Source organism: Homo sapiens, chromosome 9, assembly GCF_000001405.40.
Source record: "Homo sapiens chromosome 9, GRCh38.p14 Primary Assembly".
NCBI classification, from domain to species: Eukaryota; Metazoa; Chordata; class Mammalia; order Primates; family Hominidae; genus Homo; species Homo sapiens.
In genome coordinates this window covers 97,547,539-97,567,975 of record NC_000009.12, presented here as the reverse complement: position 1 = coordinate 97,567,975, position 20,437 = coordinate 97,547,539, and the positions used below count along the sequence as shown (strand labels likewise).

At 47.5% G+C, this 20,437-nt stretch overlaps 1 protein-coding gene across 3 annotated transcripts in view, besides 5 other annotated features; it reads right to left on the bottom strand.

The window, feature by feature from the left end:
- The window catches only part of TMOD1 (tropomodulin 1), a 100,564-nt gene that overhangs the window by 33,768 nt on the left and 46,359 nt on the right, over positions 1 to 20,437 (bottom strand). For all 3 annotated transcript variants that reach the window (NM_001166116.2, NM_003275.4, XM_047423825.1), the window contains 4 exons: positions 14,576 to 14,695; positions 5,155 to 5,244; positions 3,808 to 3,938; positions 2,021 to 2,128 (listed from right to left, as the gene is read on the bottom strand). In NM_001166116.2, coding sequence (NP_001159588.1) covers positions 2,021 to 2,128; positions 3,808 to 3,938; positions 5,155 to 5,244; positions 14,576 to 14,695 — 449 coding nt within the window. The remainder of the gene's footprint in view (positions 1 to 2,020; positions 2,129 to 3,807; positions 3,939 to 5,154; positions 5,245 to 14,575; positions 14,696 to 20,437) is intronic.
- Positions 8,423 to 8,842: an enhancer, noted in NCBI's record as "active region_28668". NCBI's record gives its function as "activates an Ori minimal core promoter by ATAC-STARR-seq in GM12878 lymphoblastoid cells {active_cell/tissue: GM12878}" and the evidence as "EXISTENCE:reporter gene assay evidence [ECO:0000049][PMID:35858748]".
- Positions 8,853 to 8,962: an enhancer, noted in NCBI's record as "active region_28667". NCBI's record gives its function as "activates an Ori minimal core promoter by ATAC-STARR-seq in GM12878 lymphoblastoid cells {active_cell/tissue: GM12878}" and the evidence as "EXISTENCE:reporter gene assay evidence [ECO:0000049][PMID:35858748]".
- Positions 10,516 to 11,017: an enhancer, noted in NCBI's record as "H3K4me1 hESC enhancer chr9:100319241-100319742 (GRCh37/hg19 assembly coordinates)". NCBI's record gives its function as "activates a minimal SCP1, AML or CMV promoter by ChIP-STARR-seq in primed H9 embryonic stem cells {active_cell/tissue: H9 hESC(primed)}" and the evidence as "EXISTENCE:reporter gene assay evidence [ECO:0000049][PMID:30033119]".
- Positions 11,726 to 12,227: an enhancer, noted in NCBI's record as "H3K4me1 hESC enhancer chr9:100318031-100318532 (GRCh37/hg19 assembly coordinates)". NCBI's record gives its function as "activates a minimal SCP1, AML or CMV promoter by ChIP-STARR-seq in primed H9 embryonic stem cells {active_cell/tissue: H9 hESC(primed)}" and the evidence as "EXISTENCE:reporter gene assay evidence [ECO:0000049][PMID:30033119]".
- Positions 20,095 to 20,389: a silencer, noted in NCBI's record as "tiled region #7780; HepG2 Repressive non-DNase unmatched - State 23:Low". NCBI's record gives its function as "represses a minimal TATA promoter and a strong SV40 promoter by Sharpr-MPRA in HepG2 cells {active_cell/tissue: HepG2}" and the evidence as "EXISTENCE:reporter gene assay evidence [ECO:0000049][PMID:27701403]".

The following is a 20,437-nucleotide window of genomic DNA, read 5'->3' as shown; positions in this document are numbered from 1 at the left end:
TAGCAGTTGGTGGAAACGATGCGTCATGGAGGGAAAAAGACACCAGCAGCTGATAGGACATACTGATCGGTGGGCCCTGCTGCCTAAAATGATGCTCCGAGCCAGGAATACCTACCCCGTCGCCCCTGCCTTGCTGAGACCTGCTGAGAGGCTAGCTCCCAGGAAGCCCTCTGTTTTGAAATCATCGCCCCCTCCTCAGTGCCCTTCACTTCAGTGTGCCCCCGGGATGGCATGTCAGCTTTCTCTATGATGGCGTCTGTCTCTGACTTGGCTGGCCCTCCTGAGGGAAAGGACCCAGCCAGAGTCCTCTCTGTGTCTTCCACCAGAACCTTCCTGCTCCCAGGAAAGGCCTGGCCTGGCTTAATCAAATCTAATAAAAAAAATCAAAATAACAACCAGTAGGCAACCTGCTAGGCTGATCCAACTGGACATGCTGGTGGCTGAGCAGGTCCTGGAGGCCCTGTCTTGCCAGGTGTTAACTCCTTGTATGCTGGGTCCCAGTGGAGGAACCGGGGCCAGGAGAAAAGCTAGGGCAGGCGGTGGGGGCCCTGACAGAGCTCTGGCAGCCTGATTTACCAACTGGCCCAGAAGCATCTCAGTGTTTGACACGGGCATACTGGTGTGCATAGGCTGATATCAGCTGTTGGTCTGGCAGAGTCCATGCCCAAAAAACATTTGTGGACCTGAGCTGAGGGCCAGAATGGATGTGCTTGGTTTCTGACCCATGACATAGTAGCATACAGGGCATGTGGCTTTGCCAGCTGTGTTCCTATGGGCAAGGAACCATGGAGATCTGAGGTCAGAGGTCATCAATCCAGAGGTTCCCCACTGACAGCAATGAGAGACTGTGAGCTATTTCTATTATTTCAAAAATATGAAAGAACACTGTCTTACCTATTTTAAGAATCAGAAAAAAATCGATTGCTACTAAATGGTTAATTACTAGCCCTGATAAACTAGCTTCTGCCCTTCTTGCAGGAATCTAGCTTTGCAGTAATTGCACTGTACTGTTACCCTTTAGTTGTCTGCTTGGCCAAATGGACCAGAATCTTTATGAAAGTGGAAGCTGAGACTGGTCACAATTGTATTCCCAGAACCTAATTCAGCGTTGGGCACAGAGAGACTCTCAATACATATGTGCTGGATGTTTAAAAAGAAGAGTTGATGGCTACTTCAGAGTAAGTACAATTTAATTTGATCAGAAATATCTTTTGAGACTTATAAAATAAAATTGGTCATTGGGACCTGCTGATGAAACCATCATTTTTATTTTTTTAAATTTTTATTTATTTATTTATTTATTTTGTGATGGAGCCTCGCTCTGTCGCCCAAGCTGGAGTATAGTGGTGCAATCTCGGCTCACTACAACCTCCGCCTCCTGGGCTCAAGTGCTTCTCCTGCTTCAGCCTCCCGAGTAGCTGGGATTACAGGCATGCACCACCAAGCCCAGGTAATTTTTATACTTTTAGTAGAGACGGGGTTTCACCATGTTGGCCAGGCTGGTCTCGAACTTCTGACCTCAAGTGATCCACCCGTCTTGACCTCCCAAAGTGCTGGAATTGCAGGTGTGAGCCACTGCGCCCAACCAAAACCATTGATTTTAGAGATGGAAAAACTGAGGAACAGGGAAGGGCAGGCTCTTGTTCTAATATGATGTGCCGAGTGAAGATTTAGGGGTCACGTGACTGCACTGGACTTGCAGGTCCACCTCTCACTTGCTGTGTGACTGGACAAAACAAGTTGCCTGACCTCTCCGAACCCTAGATTTTTTAAGTGCAAAGTGGGGAGAACTGCACATCTGAGACCAGAAGTGGGTGTGAGGATTGGCCAGGATGACGTGTAGGTGGTGCCAGGTGATGGCTGTTCCCTCTACACCCCTCATGGCTCCTGGTCCAATGCCTTCCACTGTACCACATAGAGCTCTTTGTTAGTGGGATACAACCAGTCCTGAGGCCACATATTTCAACCCTTCTGTTTCAAGGCCCCCAGCCACAATGCAACAGAACAGAAAGGTACATACATACGCCACGGGGTCATTACTCCGTGTCCCCACGATGCTGAACTTCTTCACATATGAGTTTTCTTTCAGGGCTTCTGCATATGCCTTGAGGGTGGGGATGGGGATATTCTGCACAAAGAAAGGCAACAGAGAGAGTGACCAGAAGCCTCCTCTGGGACAGGCTGAGGCAGGTGGATTAGCCTGGCTACTCTCTGATTCCTGGCAAGTCTCTGGCCAAAAAGCTGAATGGGCAAAAGGTTTAGGCTTTGTCCCGGACGACTGAAATCTGGGGAGAACTTTCTGGTAAACAGATTTAGAAAATCCTCCCTGAAAATTTCAGATAAGACCTGTAACCTCTTTCTTTGTGCACTTGGGGGCCAGAGAAGAGGCAAAAATTAAGGCGTGTAGTATTGTGCAAAGAGCTAGGACTAGGGGTGTGAGAGGGGCTGGAACCTGGCCTTGGTCCCAATGATCGGCAATGTTCCTGACTTGCTAGGTGTCTCTGTGGAAGCCTCCTGCCCTCTCTGGCCCTGTTTCTGGAAAACAGGTAAGGGGGTTGCATATGATACTCTTTAAGAGACATCTACCCCAGGGGGTCTCTGCTCCAGCGGCACATCAGAGACTCCTGGGGAACTTTTACAAAATGGTGATGCTTGGGCCGGCCCAGAACAATAGAATCAGAATCTCTAGGGTCAGGCCTGGGCGTTGGTATATATTTTTTAATCTTCTCAGGTGAAAACCACTGATCTGGTCCAACAGGCTCACAGTGCAGAGGAGAAACTGAGGCCCAGAGGAGGCTGGGGCCTCACAGGGAGATTCCATCCCTCATGTGGCCCTGAGGCAGCATTCACTGCCAGTGGGCAGCATTCTGAATTGTGCCAATGTCTCCTACTGGGCACATGAAAGAAAACATGGCTGTGTTTTTACCAATCTCTCAGAGCGTCACTTTAGCTCCCATGGGAGCAGAGCATGGGGAGGCCAGGTGGGGGTGAACACTAGGGTGCAGGTTTCCAATCTGATGGTGCCGTGGGGCTGGCAGCTGCTTAAAATAAAGTGGAGAAGGAAAGAAAGTGGAGCAGGGGCATGGGGGGCTGGCTTCTAGTCTTACCCCCACCCCCCTCCCAGAACTAATCCACTGGTCTCTGGGCTCAGCAGGTGGGTAGAAAGCTGCATTTGTCTCTGAATTCTTCCTGCGGCGGCCTGTTCAGGGTGAGACTGCCTGTCCACCTGTCCCTCCCCTGCCCCGGGATCACATAAGGAAATGTGCACAGAGAAAAGGGCAGACAGCTTGGGATATCGCTTTGGACATTTTGGCCAACAGCTCCCTTCTGTGGCTGTAAAACAAGGCTGAATATGAACGTGATATAGCAGCAGCGATGGCACAGGGGAGGGGCCTGCCCAGGGCCTGTGTTACCCCCGAGCCTAGTGGGCACCGGACTTTTCCAGCCTTGAGATCCCATGCAGCAGCGTGTGTCTGACTCATGATTTTATCTCGGAGAATCTCTCAGTGTTTTGAATAACGTGGCAGGTTTCCAGATCAAAGCTGGGTTGGCCCGTGCTAAACATCTGGGCCTGATATCATCCTCAGAAAGAAACCAGGACTGCCAGATGCACTTGTTTACACTGCCCACCCCTCTTAAAGGCTCCCATTTGCAAAGGTTTTGTCCCTATTCCCAATGCAGAAACACCCAGAATCCAAACAGGACCCTGTTTACTCTGCACAACCAACCCTGGACCGTTTGCATTTGGGTGACATGGTTCCCCCTCCCCCAGCCACACACAGGTAAAGTGAAATAAATGGACCTTACCCGGATATTATTGAGGTTAACTTCTTCAAGTTTTGGGTCGTTGTTCTTTATCCGTTCCAGCGTTTCCTCTACGTCTGTTGAATTTGGTTCTTCGTCGGGCACAGGCTTGTATTGTGTGGGTTTAATCACGCCTAGAGTGACCGATGAAAGGGAGGTGGCTCACAGAAACAAGGGGCTCACTTTCTGCCAACACAAAGATACTGTGGAAGGGAGCATGTGCAGGGTTGGGGCACGTGAGGGCTGCACATCACAGGGGCTGGGTGGGGGTAGGGGGCACCACTCAGAAGAAGCCCCGCAAGGGAGCCAGGAGGCTGGGGTTCTACTTGGACTCTGCCTTTGACGTCCTGCAAGAACTGGGTGAATTACTTAAACTCTCTGAACCTTGGGTCTACATCTGTAAGGCAGGGCTAGTCATTTTCCCGGGGCTCATGACCTCAGTGGACTCTTGGGAGGCTAAGATGAAGCCCGGATGGGAAAGAAATGCATCAATCTTCCAGAGGGAGGAATAATTATTTTTTTTGGCAGCCTCATTTCTGTTTGGGGCCAAAATGCCAGCTTTGGAACAATGCAGTGGAGTAATTAAGGCAATGCAATATTGGCACAGGAAAGGACAAAAGGGCTCATGAAACAGAGGAGGCACCTAGAAACAGATCCATGTGGATGATAAAGGCAGGCCCCAAACTAGTGGGGAAAGGATAAATCTTGCAAGGAATGGTGTTGGGACCACTGGATATTAATTCGAAAAAATGAAAGTTTGGTCTCATCCCACAGCACACACAAACATGAACTCCAGGTAGATTAAGAAGTTGAATATAAGGCCAGGTGTGGTGGCTCATGCCTGTAATCCCAGCACTTTGGGAGGCTGAGGCAGGAGGATTGCTTGAGTCCAGGAGTTCGAGACCAGTCTGGGCAATGGTGTGACCTCATCTCCATACAAAATAAACAAAATTAGCCAGGCATGCTGGCATACACCTGTAGCCTCAGCTACTCAGGAGGCAGAGGTGGGAGGATCGCTTAAGCCCAGGAGGTCCAGGCTGCAGTGTGTCAAGATTGTGCCAATGCACTCCAGCCTGGCTGACAGAGCAAGACCCTGTCTAAAAAAAGAAAAAGTTGAATATAAAAAGTAAATCTCTAAAACTTTTAGAAGAAAATATAGGAGAACATTTCTATAATACTGGGATAGAGAAGGCCTTTGTAAACAAGACACAAATCCCAGGAGACTCAAAGGAAAGGATGAACAGATTTGGCTATATAACATGTTAAAACTTCTGCAATGAGCCAGAGAACATCAGTGAGTGGAGGAAGCAAGAAGCATGAGGTCCCTCCTGGGGGCGGGCGCATACTCACTGTTGAGCCCCTCCTTGTTCATGATGGAGCTGCTGCTCAGGGCCTGGTAGTACTGCTGGTTACTCATGAGCGTGTGCATGCCCAGGATCGCTGCAGGGACAAGGGAAGGGCTCATGATGTGCCTCTGCAGACAGAAGAGCCTCCTAGGGACCCACACTCCAAACCCCGGGAACTCTGGCTCACAGAAATGGCAAGAAACACTTGCATGAAAACTTCAAAATTTTATTTTACTTTTACTCTCACCTCTATTGATGTGACTCTGAAATCCCCAGCCCCAGCCCAGGCTGCTCTGCCCCTGGCCTCTGATTCCCTGATGTCCTGCTGGCACATCCAGCTCAACGTGGCCAAACCAGAATGGCTCTTTCCAGTGACAGCCTCTTTCTTTGGAAGGCTCTCTTTCCATCTTGTCATCCTGCCTGTCCCTCAGGGTAAAACATCAGGGAATGTGGCACCTTCTCCCCATAAGCCCATTTGACCATCCCAGTGTCTCTGAGATCTGTCCCCCTCCCATCCCATCATCTCCATCCTAATGGAGGCCTGATCATTCTTTGGCTGTATTGTCACAGCTGTGTCATCACGGGTGTCTTGGTCTTGGCCTCTTCCTTCCCTCTACCTCCCAGCATGCAGCACAAAGCAGCTGGAAAGCTCTTTCTGGAAATGCCAACCTGATCTTATTGCTCCCGTGCTCAGCCATTCTTTCATCCATTCATTTGTTCAACATGTAATGAGGCCCACCCCAGCACTGTGTGCTAGGCTCTGGTGGGGACAGTGGAGAATAAGAAAGACTGGGTCTCCGCTCATGGAGCTGAAAGTGTGCTGGGGGAGAGAGGAGCCAAGCAAGTTCCCACACAATGAAAAACCAGCACAGGGTATGCTGAGTGTGGTAGAGGAAAAAGTTCAGTCCTAAGACAGCATAAAAGAGGAACTTGGGATGCAAAGGAGGAGTAAGTGTTGGTCAAGTTAAGAGAAGGGCTATAGAACATTACAGGCAGAGGAATGCAGGTGGGAAAGCCTCGAGGTTCAGAGAGTGGCAGGCCAGTGAGGGAGGAAGGTCAGGTTGGCATTTCAGGAAAGACCTTTCCAGCTGCTCTGTGCTGCATGTTGGGAGGTGGAGAGTAGGAAGAGGCCAAGGCCAGGACACCAGTGATGACACAGCTGTGACAATCACTGCTGGGGGAAACAGGATAGAAGCTGGATGTGTGGCGGTAATAATCAGACGCATGGCAACACCACCCCTCTCACTGAGCACATGCTCTGGGCCAGGGAAGACACTTTGTATCCATCATTCCCAATTTGGCTGCACACTGGAATCACCTGGGGATCTGTTGAAATTCCTGATGCCCAGTCCCACCCTAGACCAATTAACCCAAAATATCTGGGGGTGGAGCTCAGGCACCTGCATTTTTAAAGCTCCCTGGATGGTTTCAATGAGCAGCCAAGGTTGAGAACCATTGCCTGACACTCCCCTCCTTGATCTGCCCAATAACCCTCTGGAGTAGATTTTATTCACCTAGGCAAGGTCAGATTCTACAGGGTCTTCTAGGCTGAGTAAGGAGTTCGGGTGTCTTTTCCTAGGAACAGCCTGGGAAGCCATTAGAGGCTTGAGCAGGAAGTGAGATGGTCTGACCTGAGTTCTGATTATTGTGTTGAGAACTCACTACAGAGGGGAGAGATGGATGTGGCTGCAGAGCTGTGAGGCTGTTGCAGCTGTCCAGATGGGAGGACAGTGGCTTGTACAGCCAAATCCAAACCCAGAGCCTGGCTTCACAGGCCTTCCCTGGGCTGGCCCCACCTCACCAGTGTTGTTGCACTCCCCCTCCCAACAGCTTCTCTGCTCCAGCTACACAAACAGCCCCTGCTCATAGCTGCTCCTGCTTTTGCTAGTACTCTCCCTTCTGCTGGTGATTCTCTGCACCCACTTGACTTGGAATTTTAGATAAACAACAAATTTTTTTTTTTGAGATGGAGTCTCGCTCTGTTGCCCAGGCTGGAGTGCAGTGGCGAGATCTCGGCTCACAGTAAACTCCACCTCCCAGATTTAAGGAATTCTCTGCCTCAGCCTCCCGAGTAGCTGGGATTACAGGAGTGTCATCCTGTAATTTTTGTATTTTTTATATATACAATATATAAATACTTTATATATATATATATACAATACAAAAAATATTGTATTTTTTGTCGTCCGGCTAATTTTTGTATTTTTAGTAAAGACAGGGTTTCACCAACTTGGCCAGGTTGGTCTTGAACTCCTGACTTCTTGATCCACCACCTTGACCTCCCAAAGTGCTGGGATTGCAGGCGTGAGCCACCTCGCCCGGCCAACACCAGATTTTTTTTTAGCTAAGTACGCCCCATTCAATATTGGGACATATTTGTTGTTCTCTGAAATTTGAATTCAATTGATCATACTGTATTTTATCTAACAACTCTATGGCCCTATCCTTCAAGACTAGGAGTAACTCTTCCTCCTCCAGGGAGTCTTCCTGGATTCCTCCTCTCCCTTTCTAATTCTCCCACAGCACCTGGTGTATGCCTCAGAATCTATGTGGTGTTAGACATATCTAGATACACGTCTGCTTCTGCTACTAGACTGTAGGCTTCTGGAGGTCAGAGAAGGATATTTTCTCTTCCACCTCTCCCTGAATACGGTATTTAGCAAATATTTGGTGGTGATTTTTTAAAAAATATCCAAGTCACTTGATTAGATATGGTTTCCTGTTAGAGAGACAATATGGGAGCCCTTAATGAAGAGTCAGGAAACCCAAGTTCCAGCCCTGACCATGCCCCTGATGTCAGTGTGACCTTGGGCAGTTCTCCTCCCCTGTCTAGGCTTCAACCTCTCTTTCCAATGAGGGCTTGAGACAAGACCAGTGGCTCTCGGTCAAGGCTGCACACATGGATCACCCAGGGAGCTTTAAGACCATATCAGTGCCTCTCTCCATCCTGGACCAACCAATCAGAATCTCTGGAGATAGATAGATAGATAGATAGATAGACATATATATATATATATATATATATATATATTTTTTTTTTTTTTTTTTTTTTTAAATTTTTGAGGCGGAGTCTCGCTCTGTGGCACAGGCTGGAGTGCAATGGCATGATCTTGGCTCGCTGCAACCTCCACCTCCCGGACTCAAGCGATTCTCCTGCCTCAGCCTCCCAAGTAGCTGGGATTACAGACACGTGCCACCACGTCCAGCTAATTTTTGTATTTTTAGTAGAGACGGGGTTTCACCATGTTGCCCGGGCTGGTCTTGAACTCCTGCCCTCAAGTAACCCGCCTGTCTTGGACTTCCAAAGTGCTGGGATACAGGCTTGAGCCACCACGCCCGGCCGATTTTTTTTTTTTTAAACCTCCTCAGGTGATTCTGTTGCTGAGTGAGAGTCGAAAACCACAAGATGAGATGATCTCAAAGTCCTTTCTGTTTCTCACATTCTAAGATTCTTCTCTGCTAAAATTAGACTTGCTTGTTCATCACTAAGAGAACTGGTGGGGAGAGAGGCATCTGCATTTTTTCAAGCTCTCGTGGGTTTTAATTTAGGCTGCATCTACGTGGGCAACAGAAGCTGAGGCCTGAGTCAGCAGCAGGTGAATCAGATCACCAAGAAGGAGTCCCATTCTGGGGCAGGCTCTCCAGCTCCCACGGAGCAGCTCACGGGGGTTCTGGGATGTGCTGGGGTTTCGTACAGGTTTTGCGGGGATCATATAAAAGATGTAGCCTCATATGGCTGACTGGTGTGGCTTAGAGTGGAGAGAGGTGGAAAATAGAAAGTGCATTTGGCACACAGATGCCAGCTTCCTGTGATGGTCTAGAAAAGGGATGGAGGCGGTGAAGTTACACGAGACTGCTGGGAGACCAAGAGGAAGCAGACCTGCATTTCAGGCTGAGCCTTGGTATGAATTTTCTGGGTAACCCTGTATAGGTCACTTCCTTTTTGGGGGCTGGGGGGACGCTCAGTTTTCTCACCTGTAAAATGGAGTGTTTAAACTGATCTCTTACCTACCCATAGGACTTAGTGACACAACAATTTCTCATGTTTTTATCCTGTTTGACTTTTACAGTAAGTATCCAGGGGCTGGGCACAGTGGCTCATGCCTGTAATCCCAGCACTTTGGGAGGCCGAGGTGGGTGGATCTCTTGAGGCCAGGAGTTCAAGACCAGCCTGGCCAACATGGTGAAACCCCGTCTCTACTAAAAATACAAAAATTAGCAGGGCATGGTGGCACACGCCCGTGATCCCAGCTACTTGGGAGGCTGAGGCAGGAGAATTGCTTGAACCTGGGAGGTGGAGGTTACAGTGAGCCGAGATCACGCCACTGCACTCCAGCCTGGGCAACAGAGTGAGACTCTGTCTAAAAACAAACAAACAAACAAACAAACAAACAGCATCCAGGGTAGCTGTGGTAGACCCCCCACCCCCAACTTTTCCAGCAAGCTCAAGAGGGAAATGGTTCGCCAAAACCATACAGCAAAGACTCTTGTGGCTTTTAAGTTAGTATTCTCATTCACTAGGTCACTAGCAGTTCTAAAGTTCTAAAACTTCCCTTTGACTTTGGCATCCTAAGGACAGATAACATATATTTATTCTAGGAGGTTACATATGTTAACAGCAGGGCTAAGAAGAAATAAAACCATTTTGCAGCTCAGAGGAAATTAGAATTACAAAAAGGAAGGACGAAAAGAAGAAAGGAGGGAAAGAGGAAGGAAGGGAAGGGCCCAGCTAGATTTCCACTGATGGGCAGAATGCCTGGGGCTAGTATTACCTTCTGCCAGCCCTAGGCACAAAATCGCAACTTTCCCTCTCACTTGGTTTTGTGCCACACTCCACGTCAACAGAAGTGAGTGACGGGAGAAAACGGCACATCAACATTGCCTGTTGCTTCATTCTTTGTAGATATTGGCAAGGCTGAATTTAGCACTGGGGAACTTGATTTTTTTTTTTTTTTAAGTCTAGATCTTCCTCAAAACTCAAAAAGGACTATTTTTGAACTCTGAAAAAGAACATTGAGTTCTGTTTCCTCTCCCTGCCTTGGCAGAGTTCACTCATTTGGTAATTCCACTCAGGACGCAGAGAGATAACAGCACACATCCCCGGCTCCTCCTGCTGCCAGCTGCTCGGGCTGGCTCTGGGCAGATGGCTGGAAGATGTTCTCCTGCATCCCAGGGACAGGTGGGAGAAACTGGCTCCAGCCCAGGACTTGGATGCAGTTGAGCTGCTCCTGGATAAGATACACCCTGCCACTGGCAGGGTAGCAGGACAGGTGCCTAAGCACACGGAAGTAGCCAGAAGCCAGGGGGTGGCCTGGCTAAGCCTGTCTCTGATAGCTGCAAGACCCCCAGGTTGCCAACTGCCCTTGGGGGTGAGTGGCCCGAGGCTGTCCCATCTAAACGATGAGTCTCCCTACCCCACTTCCTTCCTGGGTTCTGCCCCACCTGAAGGGTCCCTAAAGCCAGCCAGCATCACCTCCCTGAGTGGGCAGGGGAGGCACTGCGAATTACAAGTGCTTGCTGACTCCCAGCAGCCTCTGACCTACAACCCTGTAGGCTATGCGCCAAGAACTTAGCCCTGCCAGGAACCTGTGCACTCTGCTTGTTGCCCAGCAGGGACGCTTTTAATGTTGAAATCTACATGTTGAAGTGATAAAAGATTTTAAGGTTAAAAAAAAAATACATGTTTCTCGTCTGTCCTCCTCATCACCTCCTGGGCCTCCCAAAGGCAAGGACTGGCTCCTGTTCATCCTAGTATACAGTAGGAGTTCAATAATGTGCACTGGCTTAGTGAGCAGTTAGGTGAATACATGAGTGATGCATCTCACCCGTGTCACACCTGAGTTAGGAGGGCACACCTGAGCTTGCCCTCCAGGCTCCTCCCATCAGCAGATAGCAAGCCTGCCAGGCCACTCCGTTCAGAGGGGCCTGCCCTCCCCAGCCCGGAACCGCTCCTCCTGCCGCTCCCAAGCCCTGGACCTTCTCCGCACTTTCTCACTGCTACTCTTCTGCTCCTAGGCTCTTCTCCATAGCTCTTCCCTGGTCTCCCCCAGCCCTACCCCAAGTGCCTCCCTCACACGCTGTACTGATTCTGTTCAGACGCTCACTCTCATTTGTCATTTCATACTTACCTGGTGTTTGTTTAATGTAGACTCTGTGAGGGTGGAAACTGGGCTGTTTTCTTACCATTCTTTTGCCAGAGCCTAGTCCAGAGACTAAATGGACAGCACTGACTGTGTGTGTGAGTGAGCAAGCCAGAGCTGAGCTGATGGAAATGTTCCACTTGGGAGACAGGCCATACCAACTACAGGTGACCTGGACGCCCCATGTCCTCCTCTCCCTACTCTTCTTCCTCCAGTGAGTTACCCACACTCTTGGTCCCAGTCACCCGCTCTGTGAAAAAGGCTCCAACCACCCACCACTCTCTGGTGGGCCTGCTCCGCCCAGCACCTCCAACACCATGTTCGAAGTCCAGCCTTCATCTCATGCGGAGTTTCTGAAGTCAGCTCTCGGCAGAGCACTCCTCATCAGCCACCCAGCCTGTTTTCTGCTGCCTCAGGCTAGAAAGACTGGTACCATCTCAGCTGCTCGGCCTCTGAGCCGGCACTAGGAACAGCTGGGCTCTTGGTGAAGCTGCATCTCAGATGCAATCTCACAGCTCTGCCCAGGCCTCGGCCTCATCGAAGGCCTGCCTCCTCCATTCCCCCATCCTCCAGAACACCCCCTCCTCTCCACTCAAACTCCTGCTTCCATCTAGCTCTCCTTCATGCCCCTAGTCCCAAGTTTCATCTCCTTGGTGTGGCATCCAGAGCCTTTTCTAATGTGACCCCCTCCCCGGGTCCCCAGCCAACTTCTCCAGCCTTGCCCATCACCCTCTGTTGCCTACCCTCTGTGCTCTGTGTCCTCCCCTACCCTGGAGGGCTTCACTCAGGTGACACTGGGTGATGATGCTGCACATAGGCCCTAGAATGAAGTTGCCTGGGTTTAAACCCTTTGGGCAAGGCATTTAACCACACCTTGCCTACTTTCTCCATCCATAAAATGGGGACAGTAATAAAATTTCCTTCATAGGATTGTTTTGGTCAATAAATGCAATAAGGTCTTGAGAGCAACTCACATAGAACCTGGGACATGGTAGGTGGTCAAAAGTGTTCAGTCCCTCCTTCCCCAGAGATGCTGCCATCTTTCAAATGTCCAACATCAAATGACAGGCATCCAAGGTTAGCCAGTTAACACTGGTGTAGACTTACAGCTCCCCTCTCCTTCCCAGACTTCGGCAGCATATTGCGTCGTTACAGATAACAATAAATAGCCACGCCAACAAAAATAAAGAGAAGTAGTTTCAAGAAAGCCACACAGAAACGTAGCACAGAGTTGCAGCTCTGACCTGGCACAGGAACCGCAGGCGCCGGCAGTCATTTGATAATCCCTTTGAGCTGCCTAATGAGGGGAGTGACGTCATGAAGCGTGATTGGAGGAGAAAGTCCAGGGTAAAAACAGCCCCAGTCCATGTGGAGATGCCGCACCAAGGCATCAGCCACCTCCCTGCCTCACAGATTAACCCGACCTCAAGGGACTTCGGGGAGATGGTTTGGTTGAAGTGTGATGTATAATATACGGGCTCAATGGAGGATCTACTGTGACTCGTGTGGCTTCTGACAGAATAAATCCCTGCCCTAGCAAACTAGGTTCCGGAGTTAAGTGCTACCTTCCCAGCTGGGTGAAGCACTCACTGCTTCTGTACTTCATAGTGAAAGGGAAAACCATTCTCTCTCAGTCCCAATACCCTTCAAGCCATTGCCCTTTGTCCTTCAAATTCCCTGTCTCCTGAGGAAAGGGCTGTCTGGACTTGGGATCTACACACTGGCTTTCCGCATTCACTCCTCAGGTCCCCCAGACCTGGCTTCACCTGTCACCACCCAGAGTGCCCCTTGTGTATAGTTGAGTCTTCTCACTGCCCCTGCACATCCCCCAGTGGCTCCCCCACCCCTGAACGAATGTCACCAAAGTCATGCACAACACTACTCACAAGTCGCAGAAGGCAGCTGTGGCCTGTCAAGTCCCTGGTGCTGGTGCTGGTGCCCTCCCACCTCCGCCGTGGCCTCTGGGCTTACATGCCTCTGAGTCTCCTGGCCAGCCCTGAACCCTCACTCTGTCTCTGTGGCTCCTGCATCCAATTCTGCCCATCTTGATTTGGCCTTTGGTTCTCAGCCTATTTGTGGCTAACTGATCCACATTCCAGCTTTGCCCCATTCCCACGATTTGCACCCCCGCCCCCAACCCCCACCACCAAAGGCTTCTACAAGGGCCATGTATTCTTTCTGGAGCTTGACAACACTAATGATGCCCAAATCTCTATCTTGAATGGGAACCTCCTGTAGCACTCCAGAACTTCCTATACAACTGACCCTACTTGGGTGGCCCACAGGTGCCTCAAGTGCCACAGGTTGTAAACTGAACTCTGTATCTCCCCTCTTCCTGCTCCTCCCTTGCCATCCATCACTAATGGCACCGACACCACTTAGTGTCTGAGGTTACCCTGCTTCACTCTTCTACCTCACTCTCACAGCCAATCAGTCACAGGCATCCCCTTCTACCCTCTCCCCTGCCCACCTGCCTCGAGCCTTTCCCCACCCCGCCCACCCTCCTGCCATCACCTGGGCTATGATTAGCAGTCTCCAAGCCTGCAGAATAAAAACCCACCCACTCCCTGGATCAGAGAGCACAGTAGGTGGGGAGGGAGTGCACAAGGTGCCGGATGTGGCCAGAGCCTGACCTTCCTGTGGGGATGGAACACCACAGCAGTGGGACAGAAACTAGACAGGAGCAGCAGAGAAGTCGGGGGAGGCAGGGAGTGGGGCAAAGGGCTCTGAATATCAGGCCACCTTCTGGAGTTTTGGGGGTAGTTTTTGAAGATCATATGGAAACACATATGAAGATGGAGGGCATGGGGCAAATATGCGATATACAAGGGTGACCCCTCAAAGCCGGCTCACTGAGCCAACTGCAGGCAAAGTGCAAAGTTGTAAAAATCAAGCCCTTAGTGAGCCTCCCAAGCCAAAGAAACCAGAGGCCCTCTGTCTGTTTTCCCTCTATCCTCTCTTCCCAAATGGTTTGGGCAGGATTCAACGCTAATGGCTGGGAAAGGGCGTCTGTGGGCTCTCCCTGAGATACACCCACGTCCCTCTGGCATGGGGTCTCATGGCAACAGCAGATGGCTCCCTGGTGTGGTGGGTTTGCGTGGTTTTCTCTCTATTTTCCTTGTTTTGGTTTTTGAGAATGGATTGTTGTTTGAACACTCTCGGTCTCCTCTAGTTCTTGTTAGAAATAGAGAAGGTGTTCATGCTGAAATGAGCCCTACAAGGCTCCCTGCAGATGTGGGTCAAATCCTTCTGGAGGATGTGGAAAGCTCCTGGAACGCCTCTTACCTGCAATGTCACAGAGTTCTGCATCTGAAGCATTTGCCAAGGCTTCCTCCAGCTCCGGTTCCAGCGTCACACTTTCCAGCACAGGATCCAGTGGCTTCTGCTTAGGAACCCAGACCTTTCCTGCAAACACACAGGGGACCTGTTACGGGAGTGGCTGCAATGGAACAGCCTCTGGTGGACCCACAGCCCTGCGTGGACCATTGTAGAGCCCTGTGGGTCCCTCCATGCTGAGAGTCCCTTCAGGTTTCTCCCTCTGGGGACCAACTTCTCCAAAGAATAGGAATCAGGGATCTCCAACACAGCACCCCTCACACTTGAAAAGAATGATTTTATAACTTGGTCCAAGCTGACTACCCTCTATCAAAAGCATTGGTCATGACCAAACAATCTGTAAGTAGGAAAAAAATATGAAAGAAAAATATAATAGAATGCCAGGGTATGGGATACCTTAACCAAAGGTTCTGAGACCTTGGGAAATGAGAGAAAAATGTATAAACATTTCTAAACAAACAAATAAAATATGAAAAGGGAGAAAAATAATGCATCCTTGCCTCATTATCATATTTTTAAAGTGTCAGATTCATAACGGAATAAGGGGAGTAAAGAGGTACGTATGAGGACAGTCACTGTCATGCCCACCCATAGGAACTGGTGAAGAAATTATGGTGCATCCATACAATGGACTTCCAGCAGTTAGTATAAAGGATGATGGCAATTGCTACTTACTAAGAAGGAGAATGCCTAGGACAAATGTTGTGTGAAAAAGGCAAGCTTACAAAGTAGCATTAACAATTTAATTCCATTTATGAGAAATTGCATATGTATATTTATTTACTCAACAACATTTATTGAGTGCTTCCTATGTGCCAGGCACCTTTCTGGGGGCTAGGGGACAGCAGTGAGTAAAATCCTCAAAAGCTTCTGATGTAGTGAAAGGAGAGCAATAATAAACGTATAAAGATATGGAATGGTATTAAGCATTATGGAGGAAGACAAAGCAGGACAAGGGCCTAGAAGATGACAGGATGGGTTGTGGGTGGGGTGTGCACCGCTGTTTTGGGAAGGCTAGTCAGAGGACGCCTCACTGAGATGACAGCTTGTGACCTGGGACCTGATAGAAGTGAGGAAATGATCCCCTAAGATCAGGAACAAGACAAGGGTGCCCACTTTTACTGCTGCTATTCAACATTGCACTGGAAGTTTCAGTCAGAATAAATAGACAGGAAAAAGAAGTCAGTGGAATCCAAACTGGAAAGGAAGAAGTAAAATTGTTTCTATTTGTAGAAGACATAATCTTATGTATAGAAAACCCTGAATTTCCACACAAAAAAACCTATTAGAACTAACAAAGTCAGCAATATTGCAGGGTACAAGATCAACATACAAAAATTAGCAGTGTTTCTGTACATCAGCAATGAAAAATTTGAAAAGGAAATTAAGAAAACAATTTCATTTATAATACATCCAAAGAATAAAACTTGGGAATAAATTCAACCAAAGGGGTGAAAGACTTGTACAATGAAAATTATAAAACATTACTGAAGGAAATTAAAGACCTAAATAAATGAAAAAATATTTTAAGTTCTTGGATTGGAACACTTAACATTATTAAGATGGCAATGCTACCAAAAGCAATCTACAGATCCAATATAATCCTTATCAAAGTTCCAACAGTCCTTTTCCCAGAAACAGAAAAGGTGATCCTTAAATTCATATGGAATTACGGGCGACAAATGCCAAAACAATCTTGAAAAAGAGCAAAGTTAGAGCACTCATACTTATTGATTTCAAAACTTACTAAAAAGCTAAACAGTGTAGTGCTGGCGTAAGGATAGATAGATAGACAATGAAATAGAATTCAGAGTCCAGAAAGAAACTCAAACATCTATGGCAAATTGATTTTCAACTAGGGTGCAAGGTGCATTCAATGGGGAAAGAGTAATCGCTTCAACAAATGGTATTGAGACAACTGAATATCCACATGCAAGAGAATGAAGTTGGACCCCTATTTCACACCATATGTAAAGTTGAACTCAAAATGGAATGACTTAAATATAAGTTAAGACTATAAAATTCAGGCTGGGCGCAGTGGCTCATGCCTGTAATCCCAGCACTTTGGAAGGGTGAGATGGGCAGATCCCCTGAGGTCAGGAGTTCGAGACCAGCCTAGCCAACATGGCAAAACCCCATCTCTACTAAAAATACAAAAATTAGCCGGGCGTGATGGTGCGTGCCTGTAGTCCCAGCTACTCAGGAGGCTGAGGCAGGAGCATCACTTGAACCCGGGAGGTGGAGGTTGCAGTGGGCCAAGATTGTGTCACTGTACTCCAGCCTGGGAGACAGAGCAAGACTCCATCTAAAAAAAAAAAAAAAAAAAAAAAAAAAATATATATATATATATATATATAAAATTCTTAGAAGAAAACATAAGGTTATGTCTCTATGACCTTAGAATTGGCAGTGGAGTCCTAGATATGATAACAAAAACACGAGCAACAAAAGAAAAAATAGATCAACTGGACTTCATCAGAATTTAAAAGTTTTGAGCATCTAAGGATACTATCAAGAAATTGAAATGACAATACACAGAAGGGGAAAAATATTCAAAAACCATATATGTGATAAGGTCTAGTATCTAGAATACAGAAAGAACTTTTACAACTCAACAACAAAAGGAAAAACAACCCAATTTTAAAATGGGTAAAAGACTTGAATAAACATTTCTCCAAAGAGGATATACATATGGCCAACAAGCACATGAAAAGATGCTCAACATCATGGCTTGTTAGGGAGATGCAAATCAAAACTACAATGAGATACCACTTCACACCCATGAGGATGGCTACAATTTTAAAAAATGGAAAATTCATGTTGGCAACAATGTGGAAAATTGGAGCCCTCGTACATTGCTGATTGGAGTGTAAAGTGGTATGGTTGCTATGGAAAAGAAGTTTAGCAGTTACTCAAAAAATTAAACATAGAATTACTATATCATTCATCAATTCCACCCATAGGTATATACTCCCAAAGAATTAAAAACAGGTATTCGAACAAATACTTCTACAAGAATGTTCAAAGCAGCATTAATCACAATAGCCAGAAGGTGGAAATAACTGACTGTTTACCAGTGGATGAATGGATACACAAATTGTGGAATATCATTCAGGTATAAAAAGGAATAAAGCACTGATTCGTGCTACAACATGGATGAGTCTGGAAAACATTGTGCTCAGTGAAAGAAGCCAGACACACAAAGTCACATATTGTATGATTTCATTTGTAGAAAGTATACAAAATAAGTAAATCCATAGATACAGATTGGTGGTACTAGGGGCTGGGGCAGAGGGAGTGGGAGAGTAACTAACTGTAATAGGTACAGGGTTTTATTTTGGAGCAATAAAAGTGTTTTGGGCCTTGATAGAGGTGGTGGTTGCACAATGTTGTGGATTGTTCATTTTTAAATGGTTAATTTTATGTTATATAAGTTTTACCTCAATTTACAAAAACCTACACAGCTCACAGTAGCTGTTGATGGAGGATAAGCTGAAGGGAGGGCGGGTGGAGGTACGGAGATGATTAGGAGGTTGGTGTGGGTGCAATACCAGGGTCATAGTGGTGAAGGTTGAGAGGGAGTGGGAAGCGCATAGAGAAATGTCCAGAAAGATATTCCCTAAAATGGGATCAGTGCTTATTTTCAGTGAGGAAATGATTGTGAATCAATTAGCTTTATTGTGTAAACTGTTTACAGCAAATATCAATTACCTCTATCAGCAAAACACACAACAGAATCATTTGGGGAAAAAAATGTATCATAACCTCTGTTAATATCAGATTCCAGGGATCCAGAAAAGAGGAAAACACACAAGGAAAATAAAACCCCTAAAAAGGAACTCAAGTATTAAAATGACTAATGCAATGGCTGAGATGAATATTCAATAAATATTTAAGACCTGTGGTTTATTATACCCCATAACAGGTTCCTCCAGTGAGGATGGTGACTCTGAGCCACTGTAAGAGGTACCTAGACTTCTTCCCTTCATCTTACTAGTGGCATGTGAATGTGATGGCTGGAGCTTCAGCAGCCAGATAGACCATGAGGACAAAGACAGGTTGTAGGGGTGGCAGAATGAAAAGCTGGAAAGGGTTGTGATCCACGATGCTAAGGAATATGCCTTACTAGCCCTGGAATGCCTAAGAAAATTAAATTCCTCGATTAAGTCTCTGTTACTTTTATTTATCCCCCCAGCACATGCAGCCAAATCTAATTCTAATGAAAACATCCTGCCTGGAGCTATATTCTGGTCTCTCCCACTTGAATGAGAAGGCCTCCCTTTCCAAATTCCTCAGGGCTTTGTGCCAGTTTATGGCTCTTCCCACATACTATCAGGTCTTGCGGTGTGGGGTGCTGTTTCCCAGCAGCCCAAGCTGACTGTAGGCCTGGTGTGGGGGAAGTGCTTGGTAGAGGCTGGAGTGAATGGCCCTGAGCCTGCCAGTCAGAGCTGGAGGGTCTCCTGCCCCACTGGCTCTGAGACCTCCACTTATTCAAGTCATAAGAACTCCAACAACTAGCATTCAAATACTCCAAGATGATGATGATGATGACGATGATGATGAACCTTTTGGGCTTGTTGCTGTATGGAAGTAGAATGAATGCTAACTATTCTCCTTGGTCAGCCTGGTTTTTCATGAAGACAGTCCAGCTCTGGGAGGCTAGAGAGCTTTCCCCAGCTCTGCCCAGTCCAGAGCTGGAGGAGTGGCAGGACTGATTTCTGTACCGTTCAGACTCCCTTCCCCATCCCTCACACCATCCTCCAGGTCCTCCCCTGGGAGGGGTGTGGGTACATGAGGAAGTGGACACCAGCAATGACTCACCTCGCTAGGTGTCCACCCAGGTCTGCTGCCCATCCCCACTCCCTGCCCTCGTCCTCACCTTCTCTCCTGCCACCCCCTCCAGGATCCCTCTGACCACGCGATCCTTTCAAAATTCAGAAGTTCTATAATCTAGATGCCCCTTAGGCCTCCCTGGACTTCCAGTTTTCAGTGAAACCTGGACTGAGCTCCAAGTCCAGGATTTGGAATGGTTTGAAGTCCTCTGCACAATGTCTACCCCCATGTGCGTACTCATTTTATGAAGCAGCTACTTAGTGCTGGGCATTGTGCAAATACAACTGCGATACAGGGGAGCCAGCCACAGATGTGGACCTGGGGCTCACAATGCTTGCATTCTTAGGGGTGGAGGGAATGGAAGAGACTGAAAAGAAACAATTAATTACACAATTAATTAATTAGAATTAGTGCTTTCATTCAACAAATATTTATTAGGTGCCTTCTATGTGCTACGGATTTATTAGGTGCCAGGAACAAAATGATGAACAAGACAGATATGGTCTTTACATTCCTGTAGCTGGTATTCTAATGAAGTAGTGCACAAATCCATTAAACATTTATTTAATTTTAGCTCATCCATTCATCCAACAACTCTCTACTCACCCCTACTATATGGCAGGCCTCGCACTGGCTGCATGCTGGGAGTACCACTTGAGCAAAAACAGCCCAAGTGGTTGCCCTCAGGGAGTTTACAGGCTAGTGAGAGAGACAGATGAAAAATAAAGAGATGCTGATAAGATGTGAGTTGCTCTGAAGGACACACACAGGCTCCTGTGTTGGAAAATAACCAAGCCAGGAAGTTGGAGAGGGACTGCCTGTCCTGAACAGAGTAGACAGGGATGGCTTCCCTGAAAGAGAAGACTGTACAGTTGAGACCCAAAGGACAATAACAACTAATACTTAAGTAGCATTCATTTCCTGCCAGATGCTGTTCTAAGCGCTTGACAGAGATCTGAACTCACTTAACCTTCATTA